Source organism: Homo sapiens, chromosome 2, assembly GCF_000001405.40.
Source record: "Homo sapiens chromosome 2, GRCh38.p14 Primary Assembly".
Taxonomy (NCBI): Eukaryota; Metazoa; Chordata; class Mammalia; order Primates; family Hominidae; genus Homo; species Homo sapiens.
The window spans coordinates 157,534,634-157,554,918 of NC_000002.12; the positions used below are offsets into that span (position 1 = coordinate 157,534,634).

Consider the following 20,285-nt stretch of genomic DNA (forward strand, 5'->3'; position numbering starts at 1 on the left):
TCCAAGTATAAATATCAAAAATCCTGGACTTTAAAAATGAACTAGCAAAGAGATAAGACAAATACTAAGAGGGGAAAACAATGAAAATGCATGAAACCAGAGAAATACAGGAAAACGCTGAAGCAAGTGGCTGCCATAGGGGTATCTGCTACTCTCATGGTCTAGAACTTCGGAACTGATGGATCGCATGTAATAGAGAGTACAGCCCACAGCACACAGAAAGTTTCAGATCAAGATGCCAGCCAGGCGCAGTGTCTCATGCCTGTAATTCTAGCACTTTGGTAGGCCGAGGTGAGAGGATTGCTTAAGCCCAGGAGTTCAAGACCAACCTGAGTAACACAGGGAGACCCTGTCTCTACAAAAAATTTTAAAAACTTAGCCAGGCATGGTGGTCCCAGCTATGCAGGAGGCTGAGGTGAGAGGATTGCTTAGGCCCGGAAGTTCAAGGCTGCAGTGTGCCATGATCACACCACTGCACTCTAGCCTGGGTGACAGTGCAAGACTCTGTCCAAAAAAAAAAAAAAAAAAAGGCTTAGAAAGCCCTCAATTTAAGGATGACTATTTCCCTGAAACCTTCTAAGGCAAATTGCCTAAGTCCTTCTAACGGAAATTGCCTAAGTCTTGGCTCTTGGTGAAGGAAAAAACAAGCCCATGCCTTTAAACATTGCAGTAAACCTGAGCTCATAATGAAAATTCACAAACACATGAGGAAAAAAGGTACCATAAGCAAGAGTCCATTGTAAATAGTAGTTTTGGCCCATAGAAACATTAGATGCTAGAATTAAATGATATAAGTATATAAAATATATTTTTAAAAGGAAAGAGAAATACAAAATATGAGTAAAAAATGAGAATGTTTTAGAAAGTGAAAAAGTACCAATAAAATATCTTGATATCAAAAATATAACAATTGGCCAGGTGCGGTGGCTCACACCTGTAATTCCAACACTTGGAGAGGCCAAGGCGGGTGGATCACCTGAAGTCACAAGTTTGAGACCAGCCTGGCCAACATAGTGGTGCATGCCTGTAATCCCAGCTACTCCTGAGGCTGAGGCAGAAGAATCACTTGAACCTGGGAGGCGGAGGTAGCAGTAAGCTGAGATCATGCCACTGTACTCCAGCCTGGGCAACAAAGCAAGATTCTGCCTCAAAAAAATAAATAAATAAAGTAGCTATGCAGGACCATGGACTAGAGTTCAGGAGAGCACGAATTCTGCCTCCAGTTTTGAGCAACATATACGTTGTTCACTTCTCTGCCCTGACTCCTCATTATCCTCTAAGTTCCATGATGACAGGATTGTGGCCCCCTCATCGGCATATCCCTATGGACTGAGCCAGGCTTGGCACATACAAAGAGTCTAAATGCTCTAAAATAAAGGTTCAGAAATAAATAAATAAAGTAGAAAACTCGATGGATGAGTTAAATGGCAAATTAGACATATCTGAAGGCAGAATTAAAGAACTGAAAAATAAATCTTGAGAGATACATACCATAATGACACAAATATAGAAAATATGAGTGAATAAAAAAAGCAAAGTGTAATGAAAGCTCTAACATGCATCTAATGAGTTCTCCAAAACTGAGTAATAGAAACAATGAGAGAAAAAACTATTTGAAGAACTATGACTCCAAATTTTCCAGAACTGAGGAAAGCCACAAACCACTAGAATTAGATAGTCCAAATATTCCAAGCAAGATTAACCAGAGACATCTATACTGAAGACATCATAGAGAAACTGCAGAATGCTGAAGACAGAGAAGTTCTTAAAAGTAGTCATAAAGAAAAGATAAATTAACTAAAAATTTATTGATTGATTATTGCTGACTTCTCAATAGCACTAATGGAAGATAGGTAATAGTGGAATAATAACTTCAAGGTGTTTAGAGAAAATGACTGTTAACCTAAATTTCTATGGTTAGACAAACCATTTGTTCAAGATTGAGGACAAAATAAAGACATTTTGGATACCCCCAAACTGAAAAATCTTACAACCACTAGGTCTTCTCTAAAAAAATTAAATAAAATACTTTTAAAGGATTCACATCAGGAAGTCAGAAAATGATTTGAGAGGTAAGAAGAAATGTTGAGCAAAGAAAATGATAAACATGTGAATAAGTCTAAATAATGATGGTATAAAATGAGGCCAATATCTATTCCATGAGATTGACATAAAACAAGACAGAAACAAAATACTGGACAAAAAATGCATATATCAGGAATGTACAAAATTGTTCACACTAGAATGACTATGTTGGGTCTATTCCAAGAATGTATATTTGGTTTAACACTGGAAAATCTATAAATGTAAGTCATTGCATTAAAAAACTAAAGCAAAATGCTGTATCATCACCTCATAGATATAGCACATGCTTCTATTGTATGGAATACTACACAGCAATGAAAATGGACAGATTATAGCTACACATATATAATGGAGAGTAAAAACATTTTGAAAAGAATATCTACAGTAAGTTTCAATCACGTAAGTTTCACAAATATGCAAAAGTAAACAACATATTGTTATTCTGGATATATGTATATATTCTAAAAAAATACATATAGTAAAATTCAAAAGCAAAGCAAGAAATTAGTAAAGAAATAATTGATTATAATATAAGTAACCTCTCAGAGGGGTAAGGAATCTTCAAAGGTATTGAAAATGTTCTATTTTTCAAACCTGGTAGTGGATTCACTAGTTTTCATTCTATTATACTTTAAAAACTGTAAGTTTATATTGTTTCGTGTACATAAATTATTAATATTAGAAAATTTTTAATTTAATTTCAATTAAATTATAAATGCTTCAAAATTTGCTTCTCAAGTATGTAGGTAAGACATCTACACAAAATATAAAAATAACAAAACACAAATCTTGTGTTTTGAATTAGAAATTAGAAAAAGGATTGAGAAACATGATTAAATTAGAAAAGGGTTGAGAAACATGAAGGAAGAGAAAAATGAGGCAAAAAGGCAACTATATAAAATATTCCCCAAAACAAAGCCAGACTAAAAGACATCACCTAAAAAAGATCTCATTCATTACATTAAAATATGGCAAAAAAAATAGACAGCAATAACTGAAATGAGAGAGATTAAAGTATCAGAATGGTTCTGGAACTAGTTAGATGGTTTAGAGTCTTTTTCCCACCTTCTACTCTTTTTCCTTGTAAGAGCTAGAAAAAATCTCTATCTTCACATAAGGCATAACAAGCATTGCAATAACCACTTACTATTTGTCTAGTACATTATGGTTAAATACTGGTTTGCTGGAGATGACAAGATAAATAACAATGGAGTCTCTGATGTGAGGGAGCTTTTCTAATGAGAGAATAAGTTCAAACTTTAGCAGGTTAGAGATGAGGTATAACTTATTGAATGTAAAGATGGTTGGAATTGTAATATTCTGTGTGGCAGAGACATTAACTACCCACTGAGTCTACCCATGTTCCCTGCAGTGCCTAGCCCCCCTGCAGGTGGTGGGACCATGTGACAAGTTCTGGTAGGAGCCATAAGTGGAAAAGATGTGTGTCACCTGATGCCAAAGCATTAAAGGGTCAGTGTGTGATCTTCCAGCTCCTCTCTTCACCTGACCTAGAGATCTGGAAACTGTGTCCAAGGATCAGATCAGAGTGATTACTGAGTTACTGCAATGAGAACAGGTGCCATGGAGAGTTGCCTAACCTGCAGAGCAGTTTGTGTAAGCAAGAAATAAAGTCTTGTGGAAAGTCACTGAGATTTCAGGATTTGCTACTGTCATGTAACCTAGCATTATGCATGCACAGCACTAAAGGGGAAAAAATCCTTCTGAAGACTTATAAAAAGACGTATGTCTACATATATGGAATGAATTGGAAAAACTATATGGTCTCTGAAAAGTCTCCCCGATACTCACCTCAAAAATATAATAAGAAAAATATAGATAAAAACATGGCCTTACTTCACAACTTTGCCACTGGTTTGGGATACTTGGTCGAAACTTCTGGTCACAAACAACCTTTCTCATTTCCTCTATCGAGGGATCTGAAGGCACCATGTCATAATAAGGCAATTGGTACTCCTCAACAATTCCTGTAAGAAATTTGTATAATAAATTTCCATGTGCAAATAATAAACAAACATGTCTATTTTAAATAATACCAATTAAGTTTTCTAGGCACAAGTGACACCCCAGGGAACTGGAAAGTCAAGTTTATTAAAATAATGTGTCACTATAAAATCAAGGATATAAGTTTAAATCATCCAGTTGAATAGTTACATAAAGTTAAATTTTGTATTATAAATGTTTTCATAACTGTAAAATTTATATAAGATTATATAAAATTATAATATATAACACATAATTTTATAATTATATAATATATAACATTTCTATAATTGTATAAAATAAATTTTATTTTTCTATTATTAAAATTATGTAAATTTTTACTCAATTAAAATGCCATTATACAATTTAAAAGTGATGCCTACTTTCTTCTGATTATGAAATTTGTAGCACAGCTTCATTGCTTTGTGAATGAAGTACGTATATTTTCCCATCAGATAACTTTTTCAAAACAAAACAGCTTTCTCTCTTTGAAAACTTTTAGGCAATCTTTTTAACGTTGGGTTTCTTACATTTAGACTTTAGAACTACTGAACCTGAGAATGTTCTGGAGAAGAAGCCAAAGGTAGTTGAAGATAGACAGTTCAACATGAAGATTAATATTTAAAGAGTCTCAAAGACAAAGACGACCTCAATTATTAGAATACTACTTAAATTCCAAGAAATCCCTTATAAAATCTTTTTAATTAACTGCAGTGCTTTTAACTTAAAATATGTAAGACATGCCATAATACTAGACAACTAACTACAATTCACGTCTGCTAAATTACTATTTTTACAGTTGAAGAAAAGTTAAGGACAAAATCTAAAAGCAAATCTAGACTAATATCAATATGAAATTTTTACAAAAAATTATTAACATGTTTGAAATCTTGCTATCTGCCGTGCATTGCCTTAAGGCCTTTACAGGTTTTAACTAATCAGTCCTCAAAACTACTGACTAAAGAAGGTACAACATTATTTCTGTTTTATAGATGAGGAAACTGAAGCACAGAATGCTATGAATTTGTTCAGAGACATAGAGCTAGTAAGTGGCAGATCTGGAATTCAAACCCTAGTGTCCATGTTCGGCACCACTATAATTCTATTGCTTCTATAAACAGTTGTAGATCCCTGAATGTTTTATAATATCATCTATGAATAAAAGAGAAAAAGTATGTATGTTTGCTCATTCAGACATAATTTTAACCTTAGAAGCTTTGCATAAAGTCTGCAAGGTTTTTTAAAAAATGAGATTAATGTAATGCAAAATGACATCACTACAAAGTGCAGAAAAAAGACAATAGTTTAATAATGGCAGGTCTTTAATCGAATGTTTACTGTGAACAGGCTCTGTACTAAAAGCTTCACATGAATTAATTCATTAAATCCTTAAAGCCCATGGGATCAGTTTTTGTATTATCTTCATTTTACAGATGAGAAAATTACAACTAAGTAACTTGCCTGAAATCAGACATTCAAGGAATTGCTAAACCAACGCTTAGTCCTAAGTCTGTCTCACTTGAAAGTGGAAACTCTAAACCATTTTCTACCAGCATTTAACTTTTTCTCCACTGATGCAACTGTTTCATCAGACATATTTACAGGGCTTCCCCCTCCCTAATTCTTCCTCTCATTATTAAGTACATTTTTTTTTTTTTGAGACAGAGTTTCGCTCTTGTTGCCCAGGCTGGAGTGCAATGGCGCAATCTCAGCTCATGAGCCACCATGCCCGGCATGCCTGGCTAATTTTGTATTTTTAGTAGAGACAGGTTTCTCCACGTTGGTCAGGCTGGTCTCGAACTCCCGACCTCAGTGATCCGCCCGCCTCAGCCTCCCAAAGTGTTGGGATTACAGGCATGAGTCACCACGCCCAGGTGCATTATTAAGTTCTAAACTACTGGGAGCAGTAAAGGTAGGAAGTTTGTCTTTGCCCACCTCTTCCCATACCTTTATCCAACCCTACAGTATTTATCATATCACAGGGAAGAAAAAAACAAGAAAAGCTTAAGAAACTGAACCCTTCAAGTCCTGTTGCCTCAGCAAATCATTTAACTTATTTGGGATATAAGTTAGGAATACCAGCTTACAGCTTACAAACTCAAATAATTTTCAAGTACTTCATAAAGTGTCACATGGAAACAAAAATTATCAGGGGAACTGTCACCCCACTAAGCAGTAATCACAATATAAAATCTCCATTACATGCAAGATATCCCACTTTTGCCACTGGAAATATATCACCAAAAGGTATTCTCTTAAATACTAAGAAACTGATTGAATATAGTGCTTAGGGGAAAAAGATAGAATATCACATCTTGTATTCAGAGTATCAAGGAAAGGCAAACACAAAGGATATTTCCAAAATTTTACCTCCGACTGAACACCTCCGGGCTATTTCCCAGTAAACCAGACCAACAGAATAGATGTCAGCTCGTTTGAAGGACTCAAAGATATTCACATTCATTGTATCATCAAGCATTTCAGGAGCCATATACCTTCAAAAACATGTACATTTCAGATTCTGTCTATGACTTTATAGCAGTCCAGTAAAACAATCTTAATAAATTAAGATAGCTTATGCCATTTTAAAAGGCAGATTTGAAGCACTATAATAGAATAAAATTAAAGAATAATTATTGGCTCAACCATCAAGTGTGTTCAGCATCACTCCACCCATACTTTCTCTCAGTGAACAATTTTATTACACATTGGCTCCAAAAAAATATAGCCATGTTTGAACAAGAGTCAGTATAAGAAATCTACAGTCCATGGGCCTGACTGAGCCTTGCTGTACTAGGGAGATTTTGGAGATTTCCCAGAATACTGAAGTGAGGATGCAACACCCTCCCAAGTTCTTGCAAGGGTGTTAGATCCCCTGAAGGAATCCAGCATCCAAGGCTTCCCTGAAGGTTCCTGATGTGGGGATAATCAGATGGGCAAGGTAAGGCTTTTCTTGTATAGGGAAAAGAAGTTCCTTAGGGCTGCCCAGTGTGAATAAACTGCCCGGAAGTGTTCCTGGGGCTTATGAAAGTCTCCCAGTGAATCACAAGAGGCATTCACAGGCACTGTCCTGGAATCTCAAATACGGCTTGAAGGCCAGGTATAGCAACTTAGAATTTCTCTACTCTCAAGGGCCTTTAACAACTCCAAGAAAATAGTTTGGTTGTTTCTAATTTCAAGGTCATGAACTCTGGAATTTTGCCAAAGTAATGTAGAGCCTGAAATTCAAGTAAAAATAATTGGAACTAGGCTGGCCATATGGCCACAGGCTGGCTATAGCAAGAAAAACACCAGAAATCCCATTCCTAATGGGCCTGACCTGACACATGTGTGGTATATGTTGTTACTTCATGCTCATTCTTAATCTTCAGAGATTCTGTTCCTTGAAAGTGGGAATTGTATCCAAATTCATATTATCTTAATACATATCAATTTGGGAGATTTAATAATAAGTAAAAATATAGGTAATACATAAATTGTTATATAATATATTTAAAGAATAAGGGAATATAGTAGCACATAAGTGTATTCAGCATATAGAGTCCCTACCTATCTATTTCAACATATTGATTCTGTGTCTGTTGTATAGAATCTGAGTATGTAGAACTAGTCCTGAGTTTCAGTTCATTTATGGGATATAAAGGCTTTGGAGGAGCTACATACTGCTGACATTTTTTTCTTATCTGTAGGAAAATGCATTCTCAGAAAATGGCACACTAAAAATAATACACTACTATCTCTTCCATCATTTCTCTCCACTGGACTCTGTACCTAAATGGCTGCAATCCATATGGCCCAAAGTGCCAGCTCTCCTTGCTTTATAACCATTGCACCCACTAACTTCTCAGTGACCCAGAGAAGACTTCTGGATTTCTTGGGCCCAGTGGTTTCCTATTTGGACCTGAGCCTCCTCCACACACATGAGGACATTCATGCTTATTGGGCACTCTCACATCTTACTATGCTACCCAAGTCAGTCGTCTTACCTCTTGGTTCCCACTTTAGGATTCTGAGGTATGTCGATAGTGTTCAGTATTGAATCATGCTTCACAGCCAACCCTAAGTCCGCTATGGCACAAGTTTCACACTTTTTCACTAAGATATTCTTTGATTTTATGTCTCGATGAGCAATAGCAGGTTTACCTATGAAGCAAAGAAGAACATATTCATTTTTTTCTTTACCGGAGACTGTTCAAGAGAAATCATCCTGAAGACTTAGCTCAAAATGAGCTAATTCAAAAAGAGTTTTCTTCAAAGCTCTTGTCACTATCTAAATTATCTTGTTTATTTATGTACATGCTGAATCATCTGTCTCTCCCAAATAAACTGTAAACGAATAAGGACAGTAGCTGTTTTGTTCATCACCATGCCTCTATTGCTTAGAGCACTAGATGACTAGATCACTAATAAACATTTTTTAATAGATGGGGAAAGAATTAGTACTGCTATGTGCTCATAAGAACATGGCAAATATTGTTTTACAAAATAAGTCTGAAAACTTCTATTACCCCACACCAGCAGTTCTCAATTGTAGCCAAAAGATCCCCAAGGTCCTTGCAACTCTTTTCTAACTACGCATCTGTGTGACGCCATCTTTTCTTCACATATTTCAACCAAAACAACATATGAGAACAGACAGAATGAAGAACAGGTATGAAAATCCAGACATTAAAACAGACATTAAAGGGATTTGCAACAATGTAAAACAAAACCATTATTTTCACTTAATCAGTTTTTGTATTAGAAAAAAAGTTGTTATATTTAAAATATTTATGTTAACATTTAATTGGTTATTTTAAGCAAATTAATAAGTACTTTTAAATTCCTCAGTTTTAATTTCTAATATTGTAAATAGTAATAGAGATAAGCTACATACACAAAAACCTTTGTAGTCCTCAATAATTTTAAGAGTGTAAAGAGATCATGAGTTCAAATGTGAGAACCACTGCCCTGTCTAGACTAATTGACTCTCTAGAGCCAACCTCTTAACTCAACAAATAGAAATGGCAGTAGGTACTATTTAGCTTCAAGTACATGATATACAAATATTTTTTTCAAAATCATATTATACTTTCCAATTACTTTTTAATTATCAAAGGTAAACATTTAAATTATTTGTATTCTCTGGATATAGGACATTTGCCATTAAAGCAAGATCTCTGGGTACATATGCTAAATGGCAAAGATAGAACCACTAGGAATAAATTTTTAAAAATATTATTATGGATAAGATACAAAATAGTGAGCAACTGATGAGAGTTGGCTATATCATGACAATACCTTTAGCTTTAAAAATTACCTTTATTGTTTCTTTACTTTTTTTTTTTTTTTTTTTTTGAGACAGGGTCTCGTTCTGTCACCCAAACTAGAGTGCAGTGGTGCAATCGTAACTCACTGCAGCCTGGACCTTTCAGGCTCAAGTGATCCTCCCACCTCAGCCTCCCAAGTGGCTGGGACTAAAGGCATGTGCCACCACAACCAGATTTTTTTTTTTTTTTTTTTTTTGGTAGAGATGGAGATCTCACTATGTTGCCCAGGCTGGTCTCAAATTCCTGGCCTCAAGTGATCCTCTCACCTAGACTACCAAAATGCTGGGATTATGGGTATAAGCCACCGTGCCCAGCCTAAAGAAATAATAATTAATTACTCCTAATAAATTAAAATATAACTAAGTACCTCTATCCTCATATTCAAAGTGGAAAAAAAATGAAAAGGAAATACATACCTTGTGTACCAACAATCTCCATATGAAGGTGTGCCAGACCACTAGCAATTGAGAGCGCCAGCTTGATCATTCCAGCCACGGTCACTATATTTCTATTCAAATAGTCATATAAGGAGCCCTGTTCATGATATTCAGATACCAGCCAAAGTTGAGTCCAAGTTCCATTATCTAACAAGAAAATGTAATTTTGTTGTTGTAAATACATATTGAGAAAGAAGCCAAAAGCTTTTAAAAATATCAGTGTTTAATCTGTATTGTTAACAAAGCAAAGTTAATTGCTTCAGTGGTAATGCTTACAGTCCAAGTTAGTAAAGAAAAAATTCTCAATGAATTCCTGAAGATATTGATATGTTGGAACTTGTTATATGTGCCCACCATAAAAATAGAAAGTTGTGAGGTTGTGATTGATTCTAACAACTGAACAACTCCTTTCTTATTTCCTCTGTATCAATACCTGCTGGCAATAGTAACCACATTATAGGAGAAACCACTGAGAGATGCATTTAGGCTCAGTGTGTGTTATAAACTACTCTGAGCTTTTAAGAAAAATTATACCAATAAAGATCAGAAATATAACAAATTTATGCAAAGTATTATTTCTATCATAAAAGCTCTAACATTCTAAAAATGTTGATGTTATTCACCTTTCAAAATATAGAGTTGATTATTTTCCCCAAAAGCTTATAGTAAGAGCCAAACACAATTACTAGACATTTTCAAATAATTTACCTCATTTAGCCAAAACCTAATCCAGCTTATAAAAGACTTTTAGAAAAGAAATTACTCTAAAACTTTTCTACATATTAGTAGAGTGAGCTTTAGCTTTTGAAATGAAATGTCTACAGTAACCCTGGGCAGTCCTGACCAGTTCTGACACTCAGGGAAAGGATCTATAATGAACATTTGCTAAGGACCTATCTGGCCAGATGCTGTATATATGACAGCTCTTTGTTATCCAAATATTTAATTTCCAAATCTGGGTAGTGATAAAATTTCCTAAGAATTTAAAAGTCAACATAACATGGTAAAGCTCATTAACATACAACATATAAAAATAACCCTTACTCACACCTCTCTCCCTGATTGACACAAGTGGCTATCTTGCCCTCTCACATCAATGCTTTTGTCAGACAGTTGACTAAAGAGTGAAACTGTCAATGTTGCAAAAGGTAAAGGAATTAAAAAATGAAAGTGAAGTTAGAGATCATTTGGAATCATGCAAAAAGCCACTGACAAGTTAAGAGATGATAGAGGTAGACCAGTTAAACTCAAGAAGAGAAAACCAAGGATAATATGTCTTGTGCATATTATTATTACTATTATTTTATTTTTATTTATTCATTTTTTTGAGACAGCATGTCGCTCTGTCGCTTAGGCTGGAGTGCAGTGTCGCAATCTCGGCTCACTGCAACCTGTGCCTCCTGGGTTCAAGCAATTCTCCTGCCCCCACCTCCTGAGTAGCTGGGATTACAGGCATCTGCCACCAAGCCCAGCTAATTTTTTTATTTTTTATTTTTAGTAGAAACGGGGTTTCACCATGTTGGCCAGGCTAATCTCGAACTCCTGACCTCAGGTGATCCACCCACCTTGGCCTCCCGAAGTGCTGGGATTACAGGTGTGAGCCACCGTGCCTGGCCAATGCATATTATTTTATAATCCAATAAACATCATGATTAAACTAGCCCATGAAGATGATCCATGTACAGTCATAACTGCTTTGACAGCACTGCTGATTAATCCAACCAGTAGGCAGTTCAGCTCAAGATTAGGAGGGAAAAGAAAACATTCTTAACAGCTAAATGAGAAATGTCTCATCCTCAGTGATCTGGATATAGTTTCAAAGTATATGTATTTACAAATTTGGAAAGAACTTTTTTGGTTAGCCATCTTGCCTTTACCCCATTTCTGCTTAGCAAATCAGAAATGGCAAATCATCAGTAAACATAATTATGGCCAAAATGTGTGCTAAATGCTAAGCCTCTCTTTTTCCATCCAATTAATAATGAGTACTTTTATGATTAAGTTTATATTAGATAAAATTAACTATAGGTTCTTAATTTTCACAGGCAATGGTGGATCCTTGACATTAATAGATAATTTGTCTTAACCCTTTTTTAGATTGGGGTTACAATCTTGACTCTACCATAAAGTTCTTCATGAGTATTACTAACTGGAGCTAAAGTTTAAAAGTTGACTGAATCAAGTTTTCCTCACTTTTGTTACCTATTAGGGGCACTAATGAACAGTTAGATGAGTAACAATTTCGTAAAAAAAAAGAGAAAAAGCATAGATAATCAACGAATTTTATATCAAATCTGTGATTACACAAGCATGGGTACAATATTTTATGAGTACTTATTTTATTTTATTTTATTTTTTTTCTTTATTATACTTTAAGTTTTAGGGTACATGTGCACATTGTGCAGGTTAGTTACATATGTAGACATGTGCCATGCTGGTGCGCTGCACCCACTAACTCGTCATCTAGCATTAGGTATATCTCCCGATGCTATCCCTCTCCCCTCCCCCCACCCCACCACAGTCCCCAGAGTGTGATATTACCCTTCCTGTGTCCATGTGATCTCATTGTTCAATTCCCACCTATGAGTGAGAATATGCGGTGTTTGGTTTTTTGTTCTTGCGATAGTTTACTGAGAATGATGATTTCCAATTTCATCCATGTCCCTACAAAGGACATGAACTCATCATTTTTTATGGCTGCATAGTATTCCATGGTGTATATGTGCCACGTTTTCTTAATCCAGTCTATCATTGTTGGACATTTGGGTTGGTTCCAAGTCTTTGCTATTGTGAATAATGCCGCAATAAACACATGTGTGCATGTGTCTTTATAGCAGCATGATTTATAGTCCTTTGGGTATATACCCAGTAATGGGATGGCTGGGTCAAATGGTATTTCTAGTTCTAGATCCCTGAGGAATCGCCACACTGACTTCCACAATGGTTGAACTAGTTTACAGTCCCACCAACAGTGTAAAAGTGTTCCTATTTCTCCACATCCTCTCCAGCACCTGTTGTTTCCTGACTTTTTAATGATTGCCATTCTAACTGGTGTGAGATGGTATCTCATTGTGGTTTTGATTTGCATTTCTCTGATGGCCAGTGACGGTGAGCATTTTTTCATGTGTTTTTTGGCTGCATAAATGTCTTCTTTTGAGAAGTGTCTGTTCATGTCCTTTGCCCACTTTTTGATGGGGTTGTTTGTTTTTCTCTTGTAAATTTGTTTGAGTTCATTGTAGATTCTGGATATTAGCCCTTTGTCAGATGAGTAGGCTGCGAAAATTTTCTCCCATTTTGTAGGTTGCCTGTTCACTCTGATGGTAGTTTCTTTTGCTGTGAAGAAGCTCTTTAGTTTAATTAGATCCCATTTGTCAATTTTGTCTTTTGTTGCCATTGCTTTTGGTGTTTTGGACATGAAGTCCTTGCCCATGCCTATGTCCTGAATGGTAATGCCTAGGTTTTCTTCTAGGGTTTTTATGGTTTTAGGTCTAACATTTAAGTCTTTAATCCATCTTGAATTGATTTTTGTATAAGGTGTAAGGAAGGGATCCAGTTTCAGCTTTCTATTGTCTCAGCCCAAAATCTCCTTAAGCTGATAAGCAACTTCAGCAAAGTCTCAGGATACAAAATCAATGTACAAAAATCACAAGCATTCTTATACACCAACAACAGACAAACAGAGAGCCAAATCATGAGTGAACTCCCATTCACAATGGCTTCAAAGAGAATAAAATACCTAGGAATCCAACTTACAAGGGATGTGAAGGACCTCTTCAAGGAGAACTACAAACCACTGCTCAAGGAAATCAAAGAGGATACAAACAAATGGAAGAACATTCCATGCTCATGGGTAGGAAGAATCAATATCGTGAAAATGGCCATACTGCCCAAGGTAATTTACAGATTCAATGCCATCCCCATCAAGCTACCAATGACTTTCTTCACAGAATTGGAAAAAACTACTTTAAAGTTCATATGGAACCAAAAAAGAGCCCACATCGCCAAGTCAATCCTAAGCCAAAAGACCAAAGCTGGAGGCATCACACTACCTGACTTCAAACTATACTACAAGGCTACAGTAACCAAAACAGCATGGTACTGGTACCAAAACAGAGATATAGATCAATGGAACAGAACAGAGCCCTCAGAAATAACGCCACATATCTACAACTATCTGATCTTTGACAAACCTGAGAAAAACAAGCAATGGGGAAAGGATTCCCTATTTAATAAATGGTGCTGGGAAAACTAAGTACTTATTTTAAATATCAGAAAGCTGATGCTCTGACTTGCTCCATGAAACTCAAAAAATAACAAACACTACTTGGCACCGTTAATGGTGGCCTCAAGATACAAATCATGCTCAAAGTAACATTAATAGAAAAGTTCACTAAAATTGTCTCACTTGCCAGTATTCTAATACAATCAAAAGAGATAATATTTTCAGAAAATTTGAGTCTTGAAGATGAAGGCTGTCATACGGATGAAAAATACAGCCCTAACAAAGTTGAACATTCAGCTAGTATTAATTGGTATGTCTGTATTGGTTATTAAAATATTGAAATATTTCTGTCCTGGTTGGTAAATAGCTGCTATTCAAAACTCCTGGGCCAGGCGGGGTGGCTCAAGCCTGTAAATCCAGCACTTTAGGAGGCCGAGGGGGGTGGATAACGAGGTCAGGAGTTCAAGACCAGACTGGCCAACATAGTGAAAACCCTGTCTCTACTAAAAATACAAAAATTAGCCAGGCATGGTGGCAGGCACCTGTAGTTCCAGCTACTTGGGATTACTTGGGAGGCTGAGGCAGGAGAATCGCTTGAACCCAGGAGGTGGAGGTTGCAGTGAGCTGAGATCGTGCCACTGCACTCCAGCCTGGGCAACATAGTGAGACTCTGTCTCAATAAAACAAACAAAAAGTTCCAATGATACTCCTTTGCCCTAGACACCCTGATGCCTCCGTATCTCTTCATGACCAAGCAGCAACTAATGGGTAAAACTGGCGTGGCAGAGTTCTCCAGGATTCTGTTCTACTTGAGGCTTCTGTTCTGATTAGTTGGTTCCTGCACCAAACCAGTCAGCAAACATTTTAAGCACCGCCCTGGCTATCTGGACATCATGATTTCCCATCACTCATTTGCCCTGCTTCATTGTATGGTTATGTATATTTATCCGTTGGAAAGAGGAAAGGATTTTATATAAATTAGACTTTCATATAGACTTTCTTAAAACGAAGAGACGGGCTGGGTGCGGTGGCTCACGCCTGTAATCCCAGCACTTTGGGAGGCCGAGGCGGGCAGATCACGAGGTCAGGAGATCAAGACCATCCTGGCTAACACGGTGAAACCCCGTCTCTACTAAAAATACAAAAAAAAAAAAAAAAAAAAAAAATTAGCCAGGCGTAGTGGCGGGCGCCTGTAGTCCAAGCTACTTGGGAGGCTGAGGCAGGAGAATGGCATGAACCCGGGAGGCAGAGCTTGCGGTGAGCCGAGATTGAGCCGCTGCACTCCAGCCTGGGTGACAGAGCCAGATTACGTCTCAAAAAAAAAAAAAAAGAAAGAAAAGGAAAAGGAAAAAAAAAAAAAGAAGAGGTGAATTTATTTTTTCTTATCTGATACTAGACAACATTTTTTTTTTGAGACAGAGTCTCGCTCTAGACAGCATTTTTTACTTGTTGAACACAATTAGATTGGAAATACCTTTGTTGTCAGCAGCAATGAAACCAAGGATGTTTTCATGTCGCAGCATGACCGTCTGGTAAATTTCTGCCTCACGAAACCAAGATCTTTCATCTCTGGAGGAGAATATTTTCACAGCCACATCTTCCCCACACCATCTTCCATGCCACACCTCACCAAATCTACCTTTTCCTACTATTTCCTGAAGCACAATCGTCCTTGCAATTGTCCTTTGAACCAACAGAGGTAGACCTAACCAAAGAAAAGATGGAATTGATAATTAAACACAAATGTCAGAAAAGAACTCTCAATAATCACTGTTTTCAGATTTTAAAAAAGCAAACATTTAAATGCTTTAATAATTTTATCTATTTTGAAGGAATAAGTACCATTATAGCAAACTTATTTAATGTCAAAGCATGCTGAAAAAAATACTTCAAATTATGAATATGAATTTGTCTTGTCGTATTCACAAGTAAAAATTTTTTGAACATAGCCTGCTGCTACAGATATCTGATTTCCAAGAATTGCTGCAAATCTCCTTCATTTGCCCATCAAAGCCAGTCAGGTTACTAAGTACACAAGAGTAAAAGCAAAAAAAAAAAAAAGAAGTGTTAGCCTCTAAAATAAAATGTATGGTTCCTGGTACAACTGGAAGAGCAAAATAATTATTTGTGAATTTTTTCAAAAACCAAGCTCAAATTGGAAAGTGAAGAATCAAATACAATGATCATGTGAGATAATGATATTACACTAAAAGCAAGATATAGTCAAATAAGATATCAAATGAATATTTTCTGCAGAACAAAAAAAAATTTTCAAAGAAAATATATCCTGAATGTATGTATAACGCTTATATTCTTTGAACTACTAACTCCACCTCTAGAATTCTGTCGCAAATACTTAATGCAAAATGTAGAAAAATTTATGTCAAGATGTTTAATATCTTATTATTATTTATAGGAATAAAATAAGTAAAAGTGTCAGGTAATGGAATAATTGTGAAATAAAGTGCAGAGATTAAGAGCACAGGCGGATTCAGATTTCAGCTCTGCCACCTGGTAATCATGCACAAGTTATTTCACCTGTCTGCGCTTCAGCTTCTTCATCTGAAAAACTGGGGATAATCAATATTACGCATCTCGCAGAGATGATATGAGAATTAATAAGCATGTTCAGCACCTAGCACAGTATCTGGCATATTACATGTTCAATAATGGTTAACATTATGTTAATCTTAGGATGGCTTACTCAGAGCCAATAATAATGATGATGCTTATGAAGAAGTATCTAATAACATGAAAAAATACTTTTGCTATAATATTAAATAAAAACAGCATAGTACATTTTATTCTTATAAATATAAGTGTATCTAGCTATTCAAAATATGCACAGAAAATAAGACTCAAAAGGAAGCATGCTAAATGTTATGATGGTTATTTCTCTTGGTGAAACCGGGGTGAGTTATGATAGTCTTCTTTCTAATTTTCCACATTTTCTTAATTTCCACAATTGATATTTATTGCTCTTAAAATCAAAGGAAAAATAGTTAAAGAGGTTACAGTCTACATTTATTCTGAAAAGTCACATTTAGTTACTGTTTTTGTACTCAGACAGCTAGGGAACCCTCATAGCAATGACCCTGTCTTGCAGGGGCTTTGGTCCCTGCACCTAAAACTAGTCACTGTTCATTCACATGTTCTCATATGGACATATAAGCACAGGCTAAATAAGCACAGACTACAAATCTGCTGTTACGGATCTCAACAATTAGTCACAAAACCCTACAGGAAGAAAGTTCTTTTGAAATTATCTGGTTCAACCCTATCATTTTAGAGATGGCAAAACTGAGGCCCCTCGATAATCAAAGTCTTTCCCAGGATTATGCTGCTAGTGAGAGGCAGACCTAGAACTAAAACACTGATCTTCAGTGCAAACTGTTCCTGTCTAGAAGCAAACTATAAGACTGTTTTTGTTTGTTGGTTTGTTTTGTTTGTTTGTTTGTTTGTTTTTTGAGATGGAGTCTTGCTCTGTCAGGCTGGAGTGCAGTGGCATGATCTCAGCTCACTACTATCTCCACCTCCCAGGTTCAAGCGATTCTCCCACATCAGCCTCTTGAGTAGCTGGGACTACAGGTGTGCACCACCATACCCAGCTAATTTTTGTATTTTTAGTAGAGAAGAGGTTTCACCATGTTGGCCAGGCTGGTCTCGAACTCCTGACCTCAAGTGATCCACCTGCCTCGGCCTCCCAAAGTACTGGGATTACAGGCGTGAGCCACTGCAACCAGCCTGGACTGTTTTTGCAGGCAACAATCAATTTTACTACTTGACCACACACTAAAAGTTATGCTAACAATTATTAGGCCAAATCTCAATCTCAGTCTCTCCCTTCCTCCTGCTAACCTATAGTCTTATCCACATACATACATGCACACTCACAGAAACATCACTACCAACAACCAGCACTACCCAAAACACAACAAATGGATGGAGAGCTAGATAAGCTTATGCTTTCAAACTGCAAATTAATCAAGTACATAATCAGTGGTGCAGATCAGGAACAAAGTAAGACAACAATATATAAAGTACTCGAGACAGCAATTAAATTGAGACATTAAAACTCAATAAAATTTGCTTTGGTATCTTTCAAAGCAACCACCAAAATGAATCTAATTCTTCTGTTATGCACCTAGACATTTCATTTGAAGATACATGGATTTTTGCTTCTCCCTGTAGGTTCATTTCAATCTTTTAACCAGGGGGTGTAGAAGGTTAGCTTTCAATAATGTCACCATCAGTCAGAATTGTTACACCACAAGAGAAAAGCAGCAACCTACCCAGTTTCTTGGAAGCCATCTGAGACACCATCATTTCTCATCAGTCCATTTTCCCCTCTTGCAGGCATTATGCATGTCTTTGAAATTTGTCCCTGACCAGGTCAAGAATACGCTTCACAGTTTTTGTTCCTCAGCATCTGACAAACTGTCTCACATTTAAAGTTACTGGCCAATTAAGAAAAGCAGAGGGAATCAGACTCCCCCCTCCTCCAATCCCCTCCCTACAGGTGAGCTTTTATGACTGAAGCCTCACTGCGGATACACCCATTCTCTGATTATCAAAGGCAGGGAGGCCTTCTGTTACTTTCAGCCACTGGTCACTGCCAAACGTATGCAACTGGCTTTGGGGGAAAAATGCCTAAAGCTCTTTCAGATTGGTATTTAAAGAAATCATCCATGCTTGGGTACATTTACTACTTTTTTTTTTTTTAAATGAGAGATCTTAGAATAATCTGAAAACGAGAGAGTCCAGAATCAGTAATTCCAGATTTAGGTTTAAACATGCAAAAAACACCAGAAAATGTAACATTAATTTTTGATTTCTGCCCTAGCCCATGACTACTTTCTCAAACTAAATCCCAGTCTCTAGCATTAAAATCTGAATTGCTTTCATTTGAAAGGAAAATCTTTGGTTATCTTAAATGTATTTAAGGAATAGTTCCAAAATGCACGTTTTTATCTAACATCTTCAGATAATTAAAATGGTTTTGGGGATGGGGATTAAGCAGAGAGTTATTTAACCTCTTGAACCTTATAAAGAAATTATATAAGGTTTCAAGAAACTTGCCATAAATCAGAGGTCTCTGTGCCTAGAATGTTGTCAATATTCAAGAAATCAGGGCACAGTGGGCCTCAAAGTGTCAGAGTCAAAGAAGGAAACAGTATTGAATATCAACAAGTTTTAATTTTAAAGAAAAATGTGGCCAGGTGCAGTGGCTCACACCTGTAATCCCAGCACTTTGGGTGGCCAAGGCAGGCAGATCACTTGAGTTCAGGAGTTTGAGACCAGCCTGGCCAACATGGTGAAACCCCATCTCTGCTAAAAATGCAAAAATTAGCCAGGTGTAGTGGGGCACACCTGTAATTCTAGCTACTTAGGAGGCTCAGGTAGGAGAATCACTTGAATCCAGGAGGGAGAGGTTGCAGTGAGCCAAGATAGCACCACTGCACTCCAGCCTAGGTAACAGGGTGAGAATCTGGAAAAAAAAAAAATAAAGAAGAGAGAAAGAAAGAAAGAAAGAAAGAAAGAAAGAAAGAAAGAAAGAAAGAAAGAAAGAAAGAAAGAAAGAAAGGAAGGAAGGAAGAGAGAGAGAGAGAGAAAGAAAGAAAGGAAAAGAAAAAGAAAAAGAAAGAGAAAGAGAGAAAGAAAGAAAGAGAAAGAAAGAAAGAAGGGAGGGAGGGAGGGAAGGAAGGAAGGAAGGAGATGAAGGAAGGAAGGAGACAAAGGAAGGAAGGAAGGAAGGTGCCAGTCGTCTAGCCAATAATTTATTTTAATTTAAATTCTGGTTTTTAAAACTTTGCAGTTTGGGGGTTTTCTTACCAGTATTCTTCCTTTGAAAGATGCTACCTAATGTGTACAGTGATGGTGTAAACATTTAGTCTTCGTCAGTGGGAGGCCAGGTGATTTTGCCCCAGAAGGAGCGAACTATCTGGGTTTGATTATGCTTTTCTTTTCTGATGAATCCAAAGCAGCTTCATGCTAAATATGGATGCACATAGAGATGTTATCAGCCCTCTGTTGCCTACCTCTGTTAATTGTTACTGCCTGGATTTTCCCGAAAGCCATTGGCAAGGGAGTTCTTCAGAATGTTGGGCTACTATCTTAATGATCCTTCCAAAACAAGAAGAGATGCAGGGGCCTCTGAAGTGGCTCACCTAGGGTTACTCTTGTTCGTATTTTCATAAACCATGAGCTGGCAGGATTTCTGGATATATATAT

The 20,285-nt window shown here is 36.7% G+C and overlaps 1 protein-coding gene across 4 annotated transcripts in view; it reads right to left on the reverse strand.

The window, feature by feature from the left end:
* The window catches only part of ACVR1C (activin A receptor type 1C), a 102,098-nt gene that overhangs the window by 7,867 nt on the left and 73,946 nt on the right, over positions 1-20,285 (reverse strand). For 3 of the 4 annotated variants that reach the window (NM_001111032.2, NM_145259.3, NM_001111031.2), the window contains 5 exons: positions 15,529-15,759; positions 9,812-9,979; positions 8,073-8,229; positions 6,457-6,581; positions 3,940-4,070 (listed from right to left, as the gene is read on the reverse strand). In NM_001111032.2, coding sequence (NP_001104502.1) covers positions 3,940-4,070; positions 6,457-6,581; positions 8,073-8,229; positions 9,812-9,979; positions 15,529-15,759 — 812 coding nt within the window. The remainder of the gene's footprint in view (positions 1-3,939; positions 4,071-6,456; positions 6,582-8,072; positions 8,230-9,811; positions 9,980-15,528; positions 15,760-20,285) is intronic. The other variant, NM_001111033.2, reaches the window with a different exon arrangement.